Source organism: Homo sapiens, chromosome 10 (genome assembly GCF_000001405.40).
Source record: "Homo sapiens chromosome 10, GRCh38.p14 Primary Assembly".
NCBI classification, from domain to species: domain Eukaryota; kingdom Metazoa; phylum Chordata; class Mammalia; order Primates; family Hominidae; genus Homo; species Homo sapiens.
In genome coordinates, this window is record NC_000010.11 from 54,370,897 (window position 1) to 54,392,851 (window position 21,955).

The 21,955-nt window shown below is 33.9% G+C and overlaps 1 protein-coding gene across 20 annotated transcripts in view; it reads right to left on the reverse strand.

Moving 5' to 3' along the window:
- The window catches only part of PCDH15 (protocadherin related 15), a 1,825,172-nt gene that overhangs the window by 568,126 nt on the left and 1,235,091 nt on the right, over window positions 1–21,955 (reverse strand). For all 20 annotated transcript variants that reach the window (XM_047425663.1, NM_001354420.2, NM_001354429.2 and 17 more), the window contains one exon: window positions 7,886–8,046. In XM_047425663.1, coding sequence (XP_047281619.1) covers window positions 7,886–8,046 — 161 coding nt within the window. The remainder of the gene's footprint in view (window positions 1–7,885; window positions 8,047–21,955) is intronic.

Below are 21,955 nucleotides of genomic sequence, written 5' to 3' on the forward strand. Positions count from 1 at the left end.
AATTTGTAGCTGTCTGAATGATGCTACCTAGAAAGAATAAATTGAGGCATCATTGACATACGAAAAGAGGTCTCTAGTGAAATCACACATAGCTCTGTGTTTTTATATCTACTCTATTTCTCCTTTAATCACTGATATAAATGAAGGCATTAAAATCATGTGTATAAAATCTGTGAATGTTACAAACCTTGGAAGGATGTATAAATACATTTAATGACAAAAGACATGGTTCAAAGTCATCTTAATAAGTCATAATAATGGGTTACAAAATGGTAAATTTTTGCAATAATAAATTTTATCCTCCAATTTGTAATAGAAAAAAAATCACCCAAATGTAATAGACAGCTACAAACATTAATGTAAAAATGTAATTGTGAAATTTTGATAGCTAAAAGCTGATTTTACATGACAGCACTGTAAATGGGCTACTGGAACACTAATGCATACTGTACATTAATTAATAATATCAGATAATAATATATAGGTAGATTATAACAGGTACCATTTTACAGGTGCATAGAAGAGAAATTTGAACACTTTTGAGAATGTATAAAATGGGAGGATTTTAAATTTAACAACATATGATTTGTCAAATATCTAAATGGTTGTCATGGAAACATCCATTAGTTGACTTACTGTAGTTTCAGAGAGCAGAAATAAGAAAAATAGTTGAAAAATATTTCAAAGCATGTTTTCACCATAAGTAGAGGGCTTCTCTTAATCCAAATTTGCACCAAATAATTATGTGCCTCTATCAAAGTATCTCATGTAACTCATATGCACCTACTATATACCCATAAAAGTTTTTAAAAAATAACAAATAGAGCAGAGATTCTTATCAGTAGAAGAGTATAGTTTATGTTAGAAATAAATTTATGCCTTCGCACTTCCAAATACTTTTCCTCTGCCATTATGAGCTAAAATATTTGTGATGCTTCAATTTCTTTTTTTCACATTTGTCTTTGTATAAAATAAAGAAAAATCAGGAGGAAAAAGTGACATGGAATAGAACAGACTATTCTATAAAACAAGACCCATCACTGAAATATGCCAGTTTGAGGATAAAAGACCATTGAAAAAGACTAGCTCTTAGAAGTTTCCTGGAAAGAATTTGAATTAGATGACCTCCATTTTTACTACCAGCTTTCAAGTGTGTAATAGACCTTTTAAGGCATGTCCAGCATATTTTAATTGTAAATTAAAAACAAAATAAATATGTGTACTGTTTGTCCTTGGCACACCTCTTGGAAGACAATGAGGTGAATTATGCACTTTTAAAGTTATTTATCTTCCAATTATTGCAAGAGAGACCTATAAAAACATTCTATCTCAACTTCTAATTCTACTTGGAGTGGTACCACTGGGACCAAAAGGTCAAAATCTTATCAAATAGAGGATCAAATGCACTGTGTACTGAGGCCTCACTTAGTCCTGCTAAGTACCCATAAATTAGATCTAACCAGGTCACCTGGAACAGTTATCACTCTCAACTTTAGCTCCCTATGCAACTGTTAGTGGCATGGCTAGAACTTAGAGGGCAATAAATTATAACCATAATGGATCACACCGAAGGCAAAAATTCCCTGTGGCTAATATATAACACACAATGTAATTTTGTATTGGCATAGATTCAATTCTGCTGTATAAGAAGGTCATACATAAAAGTACAGTTCTAATAAGTCCATTAGTGAGAGTTTAGGGACTCTAAGATGCTTAAGAATGCATTAGGGAAATTTTGCTTTATCTTTCATAACTGGTGGCAAAAATAAGCCATGGTAATTTGACCTTTTCTAATTTTCTTTAATTGCTTTATTCATCAAACAAAGAAGAAAAAAAAGCTAGGTAGAAATTGTGTTCATATAACTATTTAAAACTATTACCATTCATATATACCTAAACATGCAAGCTATTCTTTCAATTTAAAAATGAGTGCTTAACACAATACTCTGAACGTATACTTGCACATTTGTGTATTAGTGTACCTGTGTATAGGTTATGATATGTGTATCAGGAATGATATATATCAACAATTAAAGGATACTATCATTAAAAAGTGGGTTTGAGAGTATGAAGAGAAAAAATTTTCCCACAAAAATGTAAAAATTTTGTAACTCTGAAAAAGAAAAAAATATAAAATAGAAATTTTTGTTATGAATTTCTCAATCATTTAGGATTCAACATGAAAATTAAAGTTTTTATAGGGGATTTGTTGATATTAGCAGTTTAGATTATAGCACAAATCTTCAATCCAATATATTTTTTTTCTAGAAACCAAATGATTTGGAAGTCAATGATTTGGGGGGCAGGGAATGCATTTTTGGCAAATCTGTAGGAATTTATTTTTCATAAAGTATAGGCAAAGTTTGTCTAATTCTCAGGAGTGAATTTTTTTTGTCATGATATTTCTGTCTATGGACTTACCACCTTTATAACATAATCATTCCTATTTCACAAGTAATGTGGAAGACAGTGAAAGGAAATAAGACACTGTGTGTTTTAGAAACGACTTTTACATAAAAAAGCAAACTTAAAGGAAATGGCTGGCCAGAGTTGTCAGTGTCCTTCACAAATTAAATTTTCACAATGAATAGTAGCATATTTACTGAAGATATTACCTAAAAAGAAAATATCAATTTGTAAATACAATTATGCATATGTGACATGTAGATACATCTATAGATTTTTCACAGTGAATTATTAAGGACATTCAGTCTATTTAATGGTAGGTATTTGTTATATGAAAAGTTTAATGTGGGTTAGGATTAATATGACTTAGTCCTTGGATACTAATAGCAACTTTTATAAAACTGATATGAGGTGATCATAAATAAAGTCAGTCAAAAATACTATTAAATAATATGGATTTTAGAACAAGGAATTGCATACCAGTGTTATTAGAAAATAATTTATACAGAAGCAGCATTTAAGATATCTCTTAGTAGCACATAAAATTCAACTGATAGCACTGGATAACAGTGATTTCAAAGTTTATGTTCAAAAGAACATCAGGGAAGGTATGGTAAGAAAAAATTGGATATGGTCATGGGACAATAATTACATTAGTTTTCTTAGTTTGTAGTTCATACATTTCTAAATAAAAAGAAAATTATATAGACAGGGTGCATCTTGAATCTAGCAAAACTCAAGAGACAGATAGAAAACAGTTTGCAATGAAAAGGTATCTGTGGGCACAGTCTCTGTTTCAGCACTCTGGTTGTAGAATAGGTTGAATCAAGACAGGTGGTAGACAACAATTAGTTTATATGAGTGATGACTAAGAGGTCTTATACTAAAGTTATGTTGACTGATGGAGATGCAAGATACAAGGTGGAGATAAAACTACTAAACTTAGCAGTTGAATGGACACTGGCCTGGGCAGGGGAGTCAAGCCCCTTTTGCAGCTACCAAGTTAGAGTCTGAAAGAAAAGAAGCTAAGATATTTGATGTTGTTATGAACATAATTTCTCTCGTTTCAAAAGCTTTTAAAATTTTGCCCAGGATTTTGAGATAAGTATTATAGGACTGTACCAGAGTCATACTTTTCTTTCTGTTATTATTTTAATTATTGATATTGTCATGACCATTATTATCACATGCCCAATAGTGATGAGAGCATTTTGGCCATGTGAGACAATCATTTAGCATTTCAAAATTTTTATGTGATGTGCCTTTATTACTGAGACTCTTCATGTTCACCCCAAATATCACATTCTGGTTGTTTCTCTTTTGTGACTTTTAATTTTGTAACTCTTCCTTTCTTTTTTTAATTTTTGGGTGCTGAAAATTTATGTAACTTTAGTGAACAAAAAAATAAAAATAAGACATAAAAATAAATGATGACCATAAGGGAAAATCTTATAAACCAAGTTTTAAAATTATAAAACAGTTCATAGTCATACAATCTCATGTAAATGCTTTCTAATTAAATACAAATATCTGAGCGTTGGGTATTTTTATTCTTTATATTCTTCCTCGGAAATTTTCATGAAGATCATGTTTATCAGCTTATTTTTAACACACTGTTAAAAATGTTTCTGTCTATATTGTTTGCTTTTAATTCTATTACAGCCATAATTATTCAAACGTCCCCATTAAGAGACAGTTTATTGCCTCAATGAGAAAATGTAGAAAACATGATTTGCATCACTTTCTCTGGAAAATAAATTTTTCTCTAACTGTTGCTAAAAAGATGGTATAATTGGATATGGATCTACCATGTGGCCCTACTCCTTGCTCCCTGGCTATAGATTCAAACCAGTGAGTATTTAATTGTTATTTCTCTCAGAAATTTTAAAACAAAACAAAACACAGTGACTTTAAGCCTTCTTTAATGGCCACTGCATCAAAAGTTTATGAAGAACTGGCATGGCATGAACACAGAAAACACTTAAAGTCAAATGAAAAACAAGGAAGTGGAGTAAAATTATAAGTGTATAAAGGAATCTGCTCTGCAGAGAGAAAAATAGAGAATATGCACAGAGAAAGGCAGAAACTAGAGACCATATGGTCCAAGACCAAGTAGTTTTCCTCTCTCCCTGGTAAACATACAATTTCCATAAAAGTAAATTATTTTTTATATCTATGCTATTGGTATTGTTAATATTCTCTCCCATCAGCTGGAAATCATTTGAAGGCATTGTTGTGTCTTCCTTATAAGCCAAATAACTTTGATTAAAATCAGAATATTCTTAGAAAAGCATAATTTCATAACAAAAATTCAGTGGAAAATTTTCTATAAAAATAATTTCAAGAGCAATTTACCACTAAGAAGGGTTAAAGTTAATTATAGGCTAGTGATTATAATACAAAGCTTTCGCCATTGTTAGTAGGATCAAACTCAAATTGTTGGTTCTATTTTGATATTCAGAGCATATATATATATATTTGAAATGGAATATATATATATAATATATAAATAAAAATATATTTTTGAAATGGAATATATATATATAATATATAAATAAAAATATATTTTTGAAACGGAATATATATATATATATAATTTTTTTTCTTTTTGAGACGGAGTCACACTCTGTCACACAGGCTGGAGTGCAGTGGTGTGATCTTGGTTCACTGCAACCTCCGCCTCCTGGGATCAAGTGATTCTTCTGCCTCAGCCTCTACAGTAGCTGGGATTACAGGGTACCTGCCACAATGCCTGGATAAGTTTTGGACTTTAGTACAGACGGGTTTTCACCGTGTTGGCCAGGCTGGTCTTGAACTCCTGACCTCAAGTGATTAACTGGCCTTGGCCTCCCAAAGTGCTGGGATTACAGGCATGAGCCATCACACCCAGCCCATATTTTTTATTTTGATTCATTATATTCATAAAAGAACAACCAAAAAACTTTGGGCAACAATCAAAAGAATTACATTTTAGGTAAATGCCCTATATTTTAAAAGAAACTACAAATATTTTGGTATTTATCATAATAATATAGTTATTTAATAATAATGTATATTTTATCTATATTTAGCTTTTGGGAAAAAACATTTTACATTAAATAAAATTTAAAACAGTGTAAATAAAGGTATATATATTTACATATATGAATATCATAGTATTAATATATATTTCATTAATACTGGAGAGCATATTTTCAAATACAATCTATATAAAAAGTGTGCACTCACTTTTTTTAAAATGAATTCTCTACTATATCTTTGTAGAAAATATTAACTAGGATCATAGAGAAGCATACAGAAGAAAAAATATCTTATTCTATATCAATGTAAATAATGTTAAAACAATAAAGTAAAAACATACAACACCTCTCCAAGTAAACTAAGATTATTTCAAATATTTACATAATATTATTATTTTATTTCAGACATTACAATTATTTAGCAATATTGGTATGGAAGCATATAGGGACAATATATCGAGAGGACCATTTAGTAAAATGGATAAAACTCCCTAGTCCAGTAATATAATGATGGTAAATGAATTTATCTCTATAAAACAACTAAACAATTGTAGAAAGATGCATGTACAAAAATTTTCACTGCAGCATTTTTGTAATTCTTAAAAACTGCAAACAAACTTGACTTCCAAAATAGGAGATTCATTTTTTAAAAATCTCTTATTTATTCATGCAATAACCAATCATGCAGCTAATAAAAATAATTATATAAATATACATTTGTTTGCATTATAATTTTACATGTATTATAAATTTTATGTAAAAAGTAGGCCGACAGCAAAATGAACAGCATAATCCAATTTAAATTAATAAGTATTATAAATATACATATCAACACACATAAATGCTTGAAATAAAATGTGGCAGAATAAACATTAAATGTTATTTTCCCTAACTGATAAAATTATCTTCATATATATGCTTCTTATTTTCTGATATGTTTACCATAAGCATATATTATTTTACAATTAAATGAGACTGTAATTTCCAGTAGTGATTAGATTTGGACTAAAAGCCCAGATTTACCTCACTATTTGTCTAGCAGTAATGGTCTATAGGACACATAAAACAGATGGGCACTAGGTTAAGGATATTCAGAATAAAAGCCCTTATGCTTTGATGAATGAACCCCTAAAAGCACTGTGGCAGCAGGAAAACATAATTCACAAGAATTCAAAGAATTCATAAGTAATAAAGCACATAGTAAACTGTAGTAAAATAAGAGGCAAATTGAGATTTATTAAAGACTCCAAATTTTAGACATGAAATAGTATAAAGTATCAACCACTCCATAACCTATTGTAAAGTGGATCATAAACCCTGAGCAATGATGTGAAATGATTCAGGTTCACTAAGCTGAGTATCTGACATTTGGATTTCATAAGCTGGGAACTTGTGGGTAAGCATGTTTAGAGTTACTCTCTGAGTTTTCCCAGGGCCCAGTGCAATTACTGATTATAATCCACTACCCTCTGCCCCTCTGTACTCAAGAAAGACTGAGATGCAAATAAGTGAGTACAAAGTTACTTTAGAGAGCTACTTATACCTATTAATTTTTTTTTAATTTTTCCAGAAATGAAACATCCAACTACGTTGGTAATTTAGCAATTTTTTTTTGAGGTAGTGTCTCGCTCTGCTGTCCTGGCTGGAGTGCATTGGTGTGATCATAGTTCACTGCAGCCTCCACTCCCCAACCCCAAGCTCAAGGGATCCTCCCACCACAGTCTGCAGATTAGTGGGACTACAGGCACGTGTTACCATGCCTGCCTAGTTTTTCAAATTTTTTGTCAAGACAGAGTCTTACTCTATTTGCCAGGCTGGACTCAAACTCCTGGGCTCAAGCAGTTCTCCCCACTGGGCCTCCCAAAGTGCTGGGATTACAGGTATGAGCTACTGCTGTGCCAAGCCCAATATAGATATTCTTAATAAAAAAAAATTTATGCTATCTGAGAACTACTTGACTGGCATATTACCATGAAACTTTTTCTCATTTTTTTTTTCTTTTTTGCAACTATGTAAGACATTTCCACAGTTTTGCCCTTCAACCAATGCTTACTAGTTGTAAAAGCAGGCTCCTGTGAGTGCACCCACCAAACTACATCTTCAAGCCGGCAGCTGAGTGACACACTTACATGTTGCCATTGTTGGACAGAAATGAGTTATAGCCATGCTTGTCCTACTTTGCCAAGGGTACCACCTCTTTTTTCTAAGCACTATATTTTCTTCTTGTTCAGAAATTGACAAGCTTCCAGGATATTAAAGGGGAAGTCTAACGGTTCTCCAGGACACAGATGTTCCCTTCCTTTCTCATTCTTCTTTAAATGAGTTAAAGAAACTGTTGTTGCTATACTCAGGAAATAAACTCAAATTATGTAAATAATTCAATATCATATAAACACACACATAGACATTTAAATTATAATAAACTTATATTACAGGGGCAAAGAAAAAAAATCACTAACATCTCTATCCAGAACTCTTCCGGTGCTGTTCAGGAAAAGCATTTGCTTAACAGGATCCATCAACACCCAGTAATCCACATTATCCTTTAAAGAAAGTTCTATGGTGGGGTCTGGTCCTCCAGCAGTCCCTTTGATCAGCATGTTGTCCACCAGAATTGTACCTGCAAACCAAAGAAAGGTACTTGAAAACATATTCTACTCATATGAATTCTTTAGCAAAGATCATGCTCTTAAACCGCGGCTGGCTCACAATCAGTTTTAAAGCTGAAAATACTCAACTGTATATCTAGCATAAGACAGAAAATATTCTTTACCAAAAGGCCAAAGTATCTGCATTATATTATTTATAAATAATATTTTTGGTGGAAGGCAGAGATACAGACATGGTGAGTTCCATCATCCATTTTGTGTTTCCCTCTAACAACATAAATCTGTTTCCCCCCATCTATCACTTCTCACAGGAGTTATCACTGAATTTTATCCTGAACAAAAGGAAATGCCTGTAATAGCAGAGTCTGATGTCTCAATTAATTCTGTTAGACCTCTGATGTGAAAAAAAGATATTGTGAAACTAAGAAAGGAAGAGGAAATAGATTTTTAAAAAGTAGCTGAGCCTCCCATGGTGAGAACTGCTTCTTTTTATCTTAGAGCAAATACATAAAACATACATCTTGACATGAAAGACAAAACTAGTGTGCAGAAATGGAATAGAAGCCATTCTTCTTTAAGACATGTCTGGGTTACTCTACTAGAACAACGCACTAGGCCAGTGTAACATTTCAGTGATTGCTTTCTTATTATTTTTTTTCAGCAAGCTGAATTGTAGACAGTTTTTGAATAAAACTTGAAAAGATTATGTCTCTAACCCTTTCTACTGTGTTAAAGATCCCATGCATTTTACATGTCGAATGCAAACAGCACTGATGCAACTCAAATACCATTTTTCCCTCACGCAGCAATGATCTCTTTGCCAAATAATAATGTACCATGGCTTAGAGCAATCATTTTCAACCGATCCATTTTATTAAACTTATAGATATAGAAGAGATGTGGCTATGCAAGTAAAATGTAGCCTCCAAAAAAACACTAGAATAAATGGCAACTATCGAGAGAACACATCGCCTTAGGACAGCACTCAAGAATATACAGAGAATCCATAAATACGAATCTGGCTTGAAAAATATAACGAAAAAAGTATCTGTTGCATTTTCTTAAGGCATGAAATTGGCCTAAATGTTATACCGTTGCATAATTACAAGAAAAGTGGAAGGCTCTTTAAAATATTTTCTCAGTAATTTAATAATAACTATAATTATCTATAATATTTCTTTATCATACTACTACTACCAGTCTTTATCCGCCTAAGAAATGCTGGAAAGAACCATGAATCTTTTGTAACAAGCCAGAATAATGTTTAAACACAAATGTTGTCTCACATACACATACTTTTGTAAATGGCACATTTTTTGCACTTTTTCACATACTAGGACATAATTACATGAATATTGAGTGGAATGAGTATTTTTATTTTTGACTGAAATGGCAAATACACAACCTACATACAATACACTCCAAAGTATAGATCAGATATTGATGGCATTTTATTGCCTATAAATATGTTCAAGAATGTATATATATTCAAGGCCCCAGTACATACTAATTTACAAATACTTCACACAACTCACCATGAAAAGATATTTGATCTGTATTTCAATATATAATTGAGAAATTGAAAGGGAATTTATTTTCTCATCAAGAAAACTTATGTACAATAGGCAGGTCAACTAACATTAACATTAATACCTTGACTCAATAGTGTTTAAGAGTAGCAACTGCAAATCTTCTGATTGTGTGTATGCATGTATATATATATATATATATATATATATGCTCCATATATATATGCTCCATATATATATGCTCCATATATATATATATATATATATATATATATATATATATATATGCTCCAAGCTGCGAGCAGATACACTAAGGGAAGGAGCCATTGAACTATCTTTACAAAGCAAATAGTTTATAACCAGATAAAGTTTTAATAGTAACTAATATTAAAGTAGTGAAACAAAAACACTGTATCTGGATTTATATTTTATTTAAAGATTCTAACTTTCATGGAAAAGATCTATAGTTTTCTTGCTCTCAGCTCACTCCTGAGTTCAATGATTGAAACTCAACAAAAAATCTTTCTACTGCTGGTGTGTTGAAAGAGTTTTGTTTGCTTGCCTGCTTTCCCCTTTAGAATTGTCCATTTGTATTGCCAAAAAGAAAAAAAAAAGCCTCTCAAATTTTCATATACAAGCTTGCTTTAAGCCAAAATTTAGGGGAGAGAGAGAGAAGAGAGCAAAGCTTAGGCAGACATGATACAAGGAGCAATATACATATTTTTTAAAAATTAACCTAAGTGTTCACTCTGAATTGCCTGAACAACTGTGCCCATACCCCTCTCCTTAGAAGAATACGTGACACCCAAGCTATAGTTAGCATTAAGCCAGAAACTCCTGTCTCTCCCTATCCCAGCAGTGGTGACTGTATCTTTCCACACATCCTAAGTTTTCAAGATCTGAAAAGCTAGTGTTCTAGACAATATTGGCAAGCAGCTAAACACCAGAATACTCTGGGTGTATTGGGATAATGTGCTCTCTTTCCTCCTTCGTTACTTTGCAAGCTTCCCTTTTTGCCAATAAACCTTTTGCTTAATGTGTTTCATTTGATGTTTAAATGTATTCTCTTCTTTGACTTCATTTTAAATATTACAGATAAGTTAAAAATAAAAAGATGGGAGGCACGACACAACACTAAATAAGAAAACTGGATGGCTCTATTAATGTCAGCTAGAACAAGCAATGTTTAATAGTGGTAACGAGACATATTTAATTATAATAAAGGGATCAACAGGAATAATCCTGAGTAGGCCTGTCTTGCAGAATAGGTAATACCCAAGATGGGATTCACCTTACATGAAATTTTCCTTTCATCATAATAAAAATGGTGGCAGTTCAGAAAATGGAATTAAATTTAGTTTGATACTCATATAATAGAAGTTAAGAGAGCTGGCCCTGGAATGGATAGGCTTAGAATCCAATCCATAATCCACCACTTACCAACTATGTGAAAGTGGATAACCGCATTTACCCTCGATTTTTCTCCCTACAAAATCAGTACTATAAGAGAAAAGGCATTTCTACTATAATACTATATGTATGTTCCTGAAAAAGACTTGTTCTCTTGTATTTAGAATAATAAAAATCAAAACAATCACAATCGTGTTAAAAATATTAGCACAGTTAAATATTTATTGACATTTTCAACACATTTCTTGGCTGGTCAATCTTTTACAGCCTTAAATACTGGGATTTGTGCTTCATCCTTTAAGAAGTAGGTATTGAGGGCCATTTACCTCTAGGGACGTTTTTTATAAAAATGGAAAACTTCCTCTTTCATTTAGCCTCTTTATTAGCCTATTAATTCAGAAAAATAACTTTGCAGCTTCTTTTTATGTACTTCCTGATTCTCAAGAGAGATTAACATATTAAATTACAGGAGTTCATGTAACTGCTAATATAGACTCTATTTGTACAGAATAAATGTTCTTCAATAGATTTTCCATTTTTTCTTAAGATCTTCTCACATAGCTAGCCCTTTCTTTTTAATTGTGACATTAGAGCTTGCCACCCATACAAGAGGATAGTGGGCATTAAGTATGGTCCAAAAAACCTGTGACATGCTTCTACCCCAAAGAAAAGTCTATGTTTCTATTTCCCATGTATATGATTATGTGGTTACATAACATGAGATTCTATGTTGTATACATGTGTCTATGTGTCTGTATAACATGAGAACACAAACTGTGTTGTGTTCTGAGTCCATAAGGAATACATAACAACCTGATTGAACTTGGAAGCAAATGCTTCCCTAACCATGTTTCAGATGAAATGGTAGCCCTGACAATTCCTTGATTATACTCTTGTGAAACCTTAAGCAGAGTACCTGGCTATGCTGTGTCTGGACTCCTGACTCAAAGAAACTATCAAATAATAAATGTGTGTTGTTTTAAATTACCTAATTTTAATGATATTGTTATACAATAACAGGTAATTTACACAGGATTTAATGTCAAAAGATCTATGTTCAGAATCTTGGCCGCACACTATTAACTAACTGTGAGCTTAAGCAAGTTCCCAAGATTTTTACAATCAGCAATATAGAGTTCTATGAGAAAACAATAAAAATGAATGTAAGTGGAGGCACGCAACTACCCAATGAATAACATTTTTCATCCTACAGCTACTAGCAATTTATATAGATTTGAGCATATAAAGGAGTTATATATTATTTTTCATTAAATTGGGAACATTATCAACAAAATGATTTTAAATGTAAAATGTACTTTCTGTACAACTGAAATAAGAGAAGCACAGAACATACTTAAATACCAGCAAGAAAAAAAAAAGACTATGTATGCATATGTAAAATATAAAACAAAAAGAAGGCAACAGTTTATTCACAGTAACCGTTGATAACTTTTCATGAAATAAAAGGCCATTTCTTGCTGGCAAAAGCAAAAATGAACAAGATAATAAGCAAAAAAAGTCATACTACTAAGATCAAAAATGCTTATTAGTACTTATTAGCATTTGCTGACTGTATTAACTGGACTAAGAGATAAAATAGAAAGACGTTCAGGGAATTACCATATTTAATTATCAGACTGGTGTAAATGGGAAAGGTTTATACCCTCAGAATATTGCAATATTTTATTATTTTCAGGCCATCAAATTGCTGCAGTTAAAATTAAAAGTACAAGCATACCATGCCGTGTATGTGTGTTTTTGTGTGTGTGTGTGTGTGTGTGTGTGTGTGTGTGTTTCAACATAATGATTAAAGTGGGTAAAAAACAATCTTCATACCCCACTCTCCTCAACCAAAAAAAAAAAGAAGAGTATAGAATCTAATCAGGCAGTTCTGTTCATTAGAAAAATATGTCCCAGGGGTTGAAATCAAAGAAACAAATATTGGTTATTTTATTTTATTTTATTTTTGAGAGAGTCTTGCTCTGTTGCCCAGGCTGGAGTGCAGTGGCGCAATCTCGGCTCACTGCAACCTCTGTTTCCTGGGCTCAAGCGATTCTCGTGACTCAGCCTCCATAATAGCTGGGATTACAGGCACCTGCCACCACAAACAGTTAATTTTTTTTTTTTTTTTTTTTTTTTTTTTAGTGGAGATGGGGTTCCGCCATGTTGGCCAGGCTGGTCTTAAACTTCTGACTTCAGGTGATCCATCCGCCTCGGCCTCCCAACGTGCTGGGATTACAGGCGTGAGCTACTGCATCCAGCCAAAAATATGGTTTTAAAATGTATGTGAAAGATTGATTTGAAAAGATAAAAGCCAAAAAAGCCCTGCTTGATGAAAAAGCTCAACCTCTTAACCTGTGTCTCCATTAGAATCAATTATAAACCTCAAATTTTGGGTTTTTCTTCCATTCCCTAACCAAACAATTAAATCTCTACCAAGCTGAAGATCCCCCCCCTTTTTTTTTTTTAACTAAAACTTCATTTCAACTTGTGAAATTCCTTTTTTTAGTGAAAATGCAACTGTAGAAAGTTGTTGTTGTTGTTAGATATGTGATTTAAAATATAAACTTTTTGACTGCGATTTTAAACACTATTTCAAAGTTTTAAATGATTCGATTCAGTAAATTTGTAAGTGTGATTTATTAGATTGAAAGAATTGATTAAGTGTCTTAAGAAAAAAATCCTCTTGGGTATGCTTGCCTACCCTTCTAGATGTTTGAAGAGTTTGTATTAAATTTATCAACATCACAGTAGTTTAATTATTAAAGATTGCATATATAGTACTTTGGATAGGGGAAGTAAGTTTGTTAAGCTTATGAGTTAATAGAACTTTAATCACAGAACAAATTAAAGTTTTTTCCCTTAGTTTTTCAGTCTTCCTACGGTTATAGCAGGAATGAAAATATTTACGTTATATTTATGGTCAAATACGATTTTGATTTTATCTGTGTCATTTACACATATTTAATATTAGTTAAAACTCAAGCAATATTCCATGAAAAGACAACCCACATATTCAAAAAATAAACAAAAACACCTAATTGACTGTAGGACAACAAACAATTATATAAGACAATATGTTTAAGAAATGGATGTGGAATTAACTGGTAGTAGTGAATCAATGAACATATTTCAACAACTCCATTTATTTCATTTTTTGAGTTTCTGGTTGATCCAAATCCAAGTGTATATTCCAGGCAGAGAGAAAGGTCACATCATAATCCTCCTCCATTTCTCCTCTGATTTCAGATTTAATTTTTAATATAAGATATTTAAAACCTTTTATTCCATAGATAAATTTGTACAATAGAAAATGTGGTTTTTTAGTACCTCTAGGAGAATTCTGAGTTGTCATAACCCTACAGTTAAATCTGTTTTCTCACCTATAAAATCATTCAGATTAACAATTCTGTAAACAATAAGGCAAAATTATTTAATATGTTATTGAAAATAATAAAACAGATGGATGTTATGACAATACTAAATGTGAATTAGAACTATGTTACAGAAAAATGTTTTGTTTCTATAGGTAATTTGCTTCTGGAAACAATTAATTGGAGGACATATTTAATAACCATACGTGCTCAAGCAGTTTGCTTTTTTCATGTAAAAGTGGGCAAGTATTAAGACTAAATTCTGTCATTTTTTTCTATGGCAGTGCCTATCGTAGAAAAACAAATAAGCTTAAGTTTGATAATTAAAGCAGCAAAAATGTAATTAACTAAAGAGTACTCAAATATTCAAAGTTTTCTGATAGGCTTATCATTTGAGAGGTTAATCCAGCCAAACAAATTTAATTTAAAGTACTCTCTAACTGCAAATGAAGTAAACTTTCTAAGTCATATTCCTTTTCAATAGCACAAGTACTTGCCCTTTTTAAAAAATCAAATAAACTAACTAAATTAAATAAGATTCTTTCAGGTATTTTCTAAAGGTCATTTTATTCATTTGGTCTGTAAGATGATGAAAATCATTTTACACATTGAAGAAGCTATTTCAAAGCCTGACGAAGTACTTTACTTTCAAAAATATTTTCTAATAATCATTGCATAAATGTTTCACCTCCTTGGTTAAATTGATTCCTTTGTGTTTTATTCTTTTTGATGCTATTGTAAACTGAACTATTCTCTTAATGTCTTTTTTAGCTTATTACTTGTTAGGTATACAAGTACAACTGATTTTTGTGCATTGGTTTTGTATCCTACTACTTTGCTGAATTTAGTTATTAGTTGTGTGTGTGTGTGTGTGTGTGTGTGTGTGTGTGTGTGTGTGTAGACTCTTTAGGGCAGGGATGTCCAATATTTTGGCTTCCCTAGGCCACAGTGAAAGAAGAATTGTTTTGGGCCACACAGGTAATACACTAACACTAGCGACAGCTGATAGCTGATGAGTTACAAAAAAAAAAAAATCCCAAAAAATAATCTTATGCTGTTTTCAGAAAGTTTATAAATTTTTGTTGGGCCACATTCAAAGTTGTCCTAGGCTGCATGTGGCCTGCGGATCATAGGTTGGACAAGCTTGCTTTAGGGTTTTCTATATGCAGTGTATTTAAGAAAGAGGAAGATTGTTTAACTTCATATAATAATAATCAGATACTTGAATATGTTTTATTATTTATACATAATATTATTCAAATATTAATCAGAGAACCACCTGAAAGTGATTATCTACTTTCTCAACATAACTTTTTCCCACTATAAACATTCATTGTTATGCAGAATATATAAAGAACTTCTGAAATCCAACGAAAAACAAATGATCTGATTGAAAAGTGTGTAAAGAACTTGAATCAATAGTTTTTCAAAGAAGATATACAAATAATCAATAAACACACAGAAAGATGGTGAACATCACTAATCATTGGGGAAATAAAAATGAAAGCTACAATAATAAACCACCTCACATTCATTAGGATGGCTACTAGACAAAAAACCTAAAAAATAGCAAGTGTTGGCGAGGATGTGGAGAAATTGAAACACTACAATGTTGGTTGGAAAGTAAGGTGGTGCAGCCCAAAATTTCAGTTACACAAAAGAAACAAGTTCAAGAGATTAATTTTACATCCCAGTAACTATAGTTAATAACAATATATTGTACACTTGAAAATTGCTAAGAGAGTAGATTTTAAGTGTTGTCTGTACAAGAAGTGAGGTAATACATATGTTAGTTGGCTTGATTTAACCATTCTACAATGCATACACATATCAAATATCATGTTTTACAAAAGAAATATATACAATTTTTATTAATAAATTGAAAGTTTAAAATAAAATCATATGGAAATTGTGGAAAACAAATGTTTCCTCAAAAATTAAAAACAGTATTACCACGTGATTCAGCCATTTTACTTCTGAGTATATACTCAAAAGACTTGAAAGCAGTCTCTGGAAGAGGTACTTACATACCCATGTTCCTGGCAGCATCATTCACAATAGCTAAAACTTGGAAGCAAATTAAGCATCCATCCATGGATAAATCAATAAACAAAATGTAGTATATACACAAAAGGAATATTATTCAGCCTTGAAAAAGAAGGAAATTCTGACACATGCTACAACATGGATCAACAGTGAGGCTGGTATGCTAAGTTAAATAAGCCACTCATGAAAAAACAAATATGGCATGATTATACTTGAAACTGACCCAATACTTCCATATATTTTTTAATAAACATAGATGTGTACTCTTCTGATCTGAAAGTTTGAAATTTACCAAATGATCTTCAGGCCTCTCAAAGTATCAAAAAACTCACCATATCACCACATCCAGACAATGAGATGCAGGATCCCTCATTCATTATGCTTGCTTCCTTGCCCCTCTGTAATTCCTGTTTCTTGCACATTATTGCATTTCTTCCCTGCTATATAAACCCCTAGTTTTAGTCAGTGAGGGAGATAAATTTGAGACAGCTCCCATCTCCTCGGCAGTATCACCTGATTAAAGCCTTCTTCCTTGGCAATATTCATCGTCTCAGTGATTGAGTTTGTGTGGCAAACAGCAGGACCTAGACCAAATCCCTGGTGTTTTGGTAACACACTTATATGGGGTACTTAAAGTAGTCAAAATCATTGACAAAGTAGGTTGTTACCAAGGACTTGGGGAGGGAGTAATGGGGAGTTATTGATTAATGGTATAGAGTTTTAGTTTTACAAGATGAATACAGTTCTGGAAATGGATAGTGGTAATGGCTGCACAACTGTATGAATATACTTAATACCACTGAACTGTACACTCAGATATGTTTACATCTGTTCCTCTTGCTTCACTTGTCCTTATCGTATTTGCTACAAGGCATTAGGATCAATTATCCCCCACAAGTATGGAAAGTCTTTTCTCTGTTCAAACGTTCATCAGCATGAAGGGTCCAAAAATGGCCAGAGGACAATCTGAGCTTCCAATTAGTCAGAACAATAGTTGAGTTTCGTTGTCAAAGCGTTCAACTTCTGGTCCTAGAACCCAAATGTCACCCAGCTGAAGGTCACAGACAAGAAAGCCAAAATTATTCACGAAGATCATTAAGTAAGATAGGAAGAGAGATCACTTTCATCTTCACTTCAAGTTGCCCAGGCTCTGTTATGTCATGCCATCTCCTGCATAGCTATTCAGGAGAGGGCATGCCTTCGTGACCTCTAATTTAAAGCATACGCCACATACTGTAAGAGAATGACCAAACCTCATAGAAGTTCATCTTCTACTAGCCGTTATCTGAGAATTAAGAATTCTATCCCACCATCTTCTTCTGCTAGCTGCTTCTGAATGGTAGGCATTGTAGTAACATTATTGGATTAAGCTGTGGTGTGAGCTCTTTGCTATGATCCTTCACCTTAAAATAAAATAAATCACCTTGTTGGAAATGAGGTTGTATGTCCACCAGATAATGATCAAAAGCATTGGAAAGACGTTCTCTGAGCACATGAATGTTGTTTCAGGTAGAAGGTCTACAGACAACACAAATCCATACTGAATCATATTTATCCATATAAGGACCCTCCTCCATGATAAAAGTGGGTTTAATGCCACTGGTCAGTGAGCTGGTTCCCTGAGGAATGATACCATAATAGGGATTCAGATTTGGGTTCTATTACTGGCACATTGAGTATCAGCAACAGAAGTAACCAGATTAGCCTTAGTAATGCTATCTTCTTGAGCCCACATATTAATCCCATTTAGGTCACTATGAGCACTTTACACACAGGGTCATTTATTTATCCCTATTGAGACCAGGAAGCCCATTCTGTTACAGCGTCCCTCACTGACATCCCTAATCTACAGAGGAAAAAAAAACAAAACAAAACAAAAAAAAACTGTAGGGCTCTTCAAGGAAGCCAGATGCCCTTTTACCAATATACTTGTTAAATCTTGCTGAAGTGCATGTCCTCTGGTTATCTTAGAAGTGTATAGATAAAGGCTGGTTTATCAGATTACACATGAAGATAAATTCATTGCACATTTCCATCACTCTGAACTTTTAAACTCCTCTAAAATAGGGCTTCTCAATTTTAATGTGCCCATGAATCACCTAGAGATCTTGTTAGAATTATAACTTATGATTTAGTAGATATAGAGTAGGAGGGTAGAGCCGTCTAGTTGATGCTGCTTGTCTGTGTGTCTCACTTTATGAAAGCAGGCTTTATCACAATGTTTCTAAAGTGTGGTCCCCTGACATAAGTATCATCTTCACACGAGAACTTGTTCGAAATCCGTATTTGCGGCTCCATCCCAAACTATTGCATTAGAAACTCAGAGATCCCATTTCAGCAATCTGTGTTTAAATAGCCATCCATGAGGCTGGGAATGGTGGCTCACGCCTGTAATCCCAGCACTTTGGGAGGCCGAGGCGGGTGGATCACTTGAAGTCAGGAGTTCAAAACCAGCCTGGCAAACATGGTGAAACACCATCTCTAATAAAAATACAAAAAAAAAAAAAAAAAATTAACCAGGCATGGTGGTGGGCGCCTGTAATCCCAGCTACTTGGGAGGCTAAGGGAAGAAAATCTCTGGAGCCCAGGAGGCAGAGGTTGCAGATCGTGCCATTGCACTCCAGCCTGGGCGACAGAGTGAGACTCCGTCTTAAAATAAAATAAAATAAAATAGCCATCCATATCATTCTGATGCTTGTTGAAATTTGAGAACCTTGTTTTATAATGTGCTGTAAAAGTTCAGACATTTTGACTTCATTAACTATAAGCTATTATTGAGACTTGGTTTCAGTTAGCCAATCTAGCAGACTATTAACGCCACTTTTCATTGTGGTAGCCAAAACATCACACCCTGAATTCAGGGTGAATGCATTCATGCAAAAGAATTCAGCTTCAGCAAGTTTTGTATTTTGTTGTCCATTGTCTAACGTCTTTAGAATTCACTCCCATGCATGATTTCTAGCTCCCTGCCAATAGTGACAATGACCTATACCTTTTGTTTTGTTTTGTTTTGTTTTGTTTTGAGACAGTCTCGTTCTGTCGCCCAGGCTGGAGTGCAGTGGTGCGATCTCGGCTCCCTGCAACCTCTGCCTCTGGGGTTCACGCCATTCTTCTGCCTCAGCCTCCTGAGGAGCTGGGACTACAGCTGCCCACCACCACGCCCGGCTAATTTTTTTGTATGTTTTTAGTAGAGACAGGGTTTCACCATGTTAGCCAGGATGATCTCTATCTCCTGACCTCGTGGTCCACCCACCTCGGACTCCCAAAGTGCTGGGATTACAGGCGTGAGCCACCGTGCCCAGCCAACCTATACCTGTTTTGTAGTATAGGCTATCTTGTTTTAAAAAAGATCTTATATTCCTGTCTTGACTAAAAGCTAACATTTCTTATGGCCCTAGAATCAATGAGAGATGGTATAAGTGGGTCATGAAAAGAATTGACATTAGCTCTTGAGGAAACTGTCCAAATATAGTTACTGTAAGGCTATTAGGCAGAAGAGGACTAGAGAAAGTGAGAGGGTCTATGTTCACTAGCCAGAAAGTTCATGAAATTGAGATATTCAATGTTTTCACCATTATCATTTTCCCATCTCATGTCTCAATGTCCCTTTTCTTCCCCAGTGCCAATTTTCAGTGCCTTTTCTATAGGTTAAGAGGATCAAAAGGGTTGAGAGTTCCAAGTATGTTGCATCTCTGCAACACTTATAATCATAAAAAGATGGGCTCCTTCAAAGCTGCCCTGATGACCTTCTGTTTCCCCATGTGCTCTTATTGCATTTTATACCTGTTAGTTTACATTTTCCCTATATACATTCTCAAGTATATAGAGAATATACACTTGGTTGTCATGAGAAACCAAATGTAATAATAATTACAACTATTGCTACAGTGAGTAATTGCTGCAGCCACTTGATCATCCAATACTCTATACCTGCACTCATCCCATGCCACCACAGGTGTCATTTGAGTAATTGTGATGCCACACCTGGCAAAAATTAGCCACATGCTATGTGAATCTCCCACCTCCACGAAAGGAGTTTATGCATGGATCCTTAATATGCACACTCCAATCCAAGAATCTCATTTTGAGTTATTTTTTTTTTCTTAGAGACAAGTCAAGCACCAATTACTATAATACTTGGTGTACCAGCAAGAAAATGTCACCCTCAAATTTAGATAAACCAATGTGTTTTTAGTAAAGGAAAGCTTAAGAGAGGTGTGAGTAGGGTATAGGGGAACTATAAGAGGTAATGTCATACACTGACAAACAAGGAATACAGAAGAAAAATTTCATCAGGAAAAAAAAAAAACAACATAATCTAATGGGGAAATGTCATATAACATGAGCCATGTTTAGAAAAGAAGGCAGCCAGCTTGGAGAGAACCTATGCAACACATACCTGGCTATTATTTACCTCTTTCCCTTCATATTCTCCTTTCTTTGCCCATTTGTGGAAGCCAACTGAATGTCAGATGGCTCAGGAGCCTTCTGATGCAATCCATGCATCTCTGAGAAGGTGAAGAGTGGATGTAAAAGGCAAACAGATGTATCTGCACATTACCTCCTCAAGGCATTGTCTTCTGAATTGGTCTTGTCAAGAGAATCTCAATCAACAATGGGATATAGATTCGGGAGAAATTGAGAGGAAATTTATGAGTTAAAGCTTAAGTGATTGGCTTAGGAAAGCAAGTGCCATATAGTGTGAGGCATAATAACACTGTGGTACTGGACATTGTTTAGTTGTAGTTTCCTTTATGTGTCTGTATAAAATCAACTTTTAGTTATATAATTTGCTCTATAGTACAGGTACTTTGTTTCAATCTCTCTCTTTCCACTATAAGAATTGCATACACATTTGAAAGCTAGTTTAATTTAAAAAAAAGTACTAATTTGGCCGGGCATGGCGGCTTACACCTGTAATCACAACACTTTGGGAGGCTGAGGCAGGTGGATCTCCTGAGGCCAGGAGTTCAAGGTCAGTCTGGTCAACATGGCGAAACCCATCTGTACTTAAAATACAAAAAAATTTGGTAGGCATGGTGGTGGGCGCCTGTGATCCCAGCTACTTGGGAGGCTGAGGCAGAAAAATCACTTGAACCCAGGAGGACTATGTTGCAGTCAGGCTAGATTGTGCCACTGCACTCCAGCCTGGCTTGGGTGACAGAGTGAGGCTGTCTCAAAAAAAAAAAAAAAAAAAAAAAAAGAAATGTATTAATTTATTAGCTTTTATTGTGAGTAATGAAAGATTATACTTCTGTCCTTAGATCATATTGATAGTATTTATAACGTTACATAATTCTATATTTTGCTCCAAAAAAAAATCTGTGGCCAGGCACGCTGGCTCATGCTTGTAATCCCAGCACTTTGGGAGGCTGAGGTGGGAGGATCACTTAAGGTCAGGAGTTTGAGACCAGCCTGGCCAACATAGTGAAACCCTGTCTCTACTAAAAATACAAAAATTAGCTGGGCATGGTGGTGCGTTCCTGTAGTCTCAGATACTCGAGAGTCTGAGGCAGAAAAATCGCTTGAACCCTGGAAGTGGAGGTTGTAGTGAGCCGTGA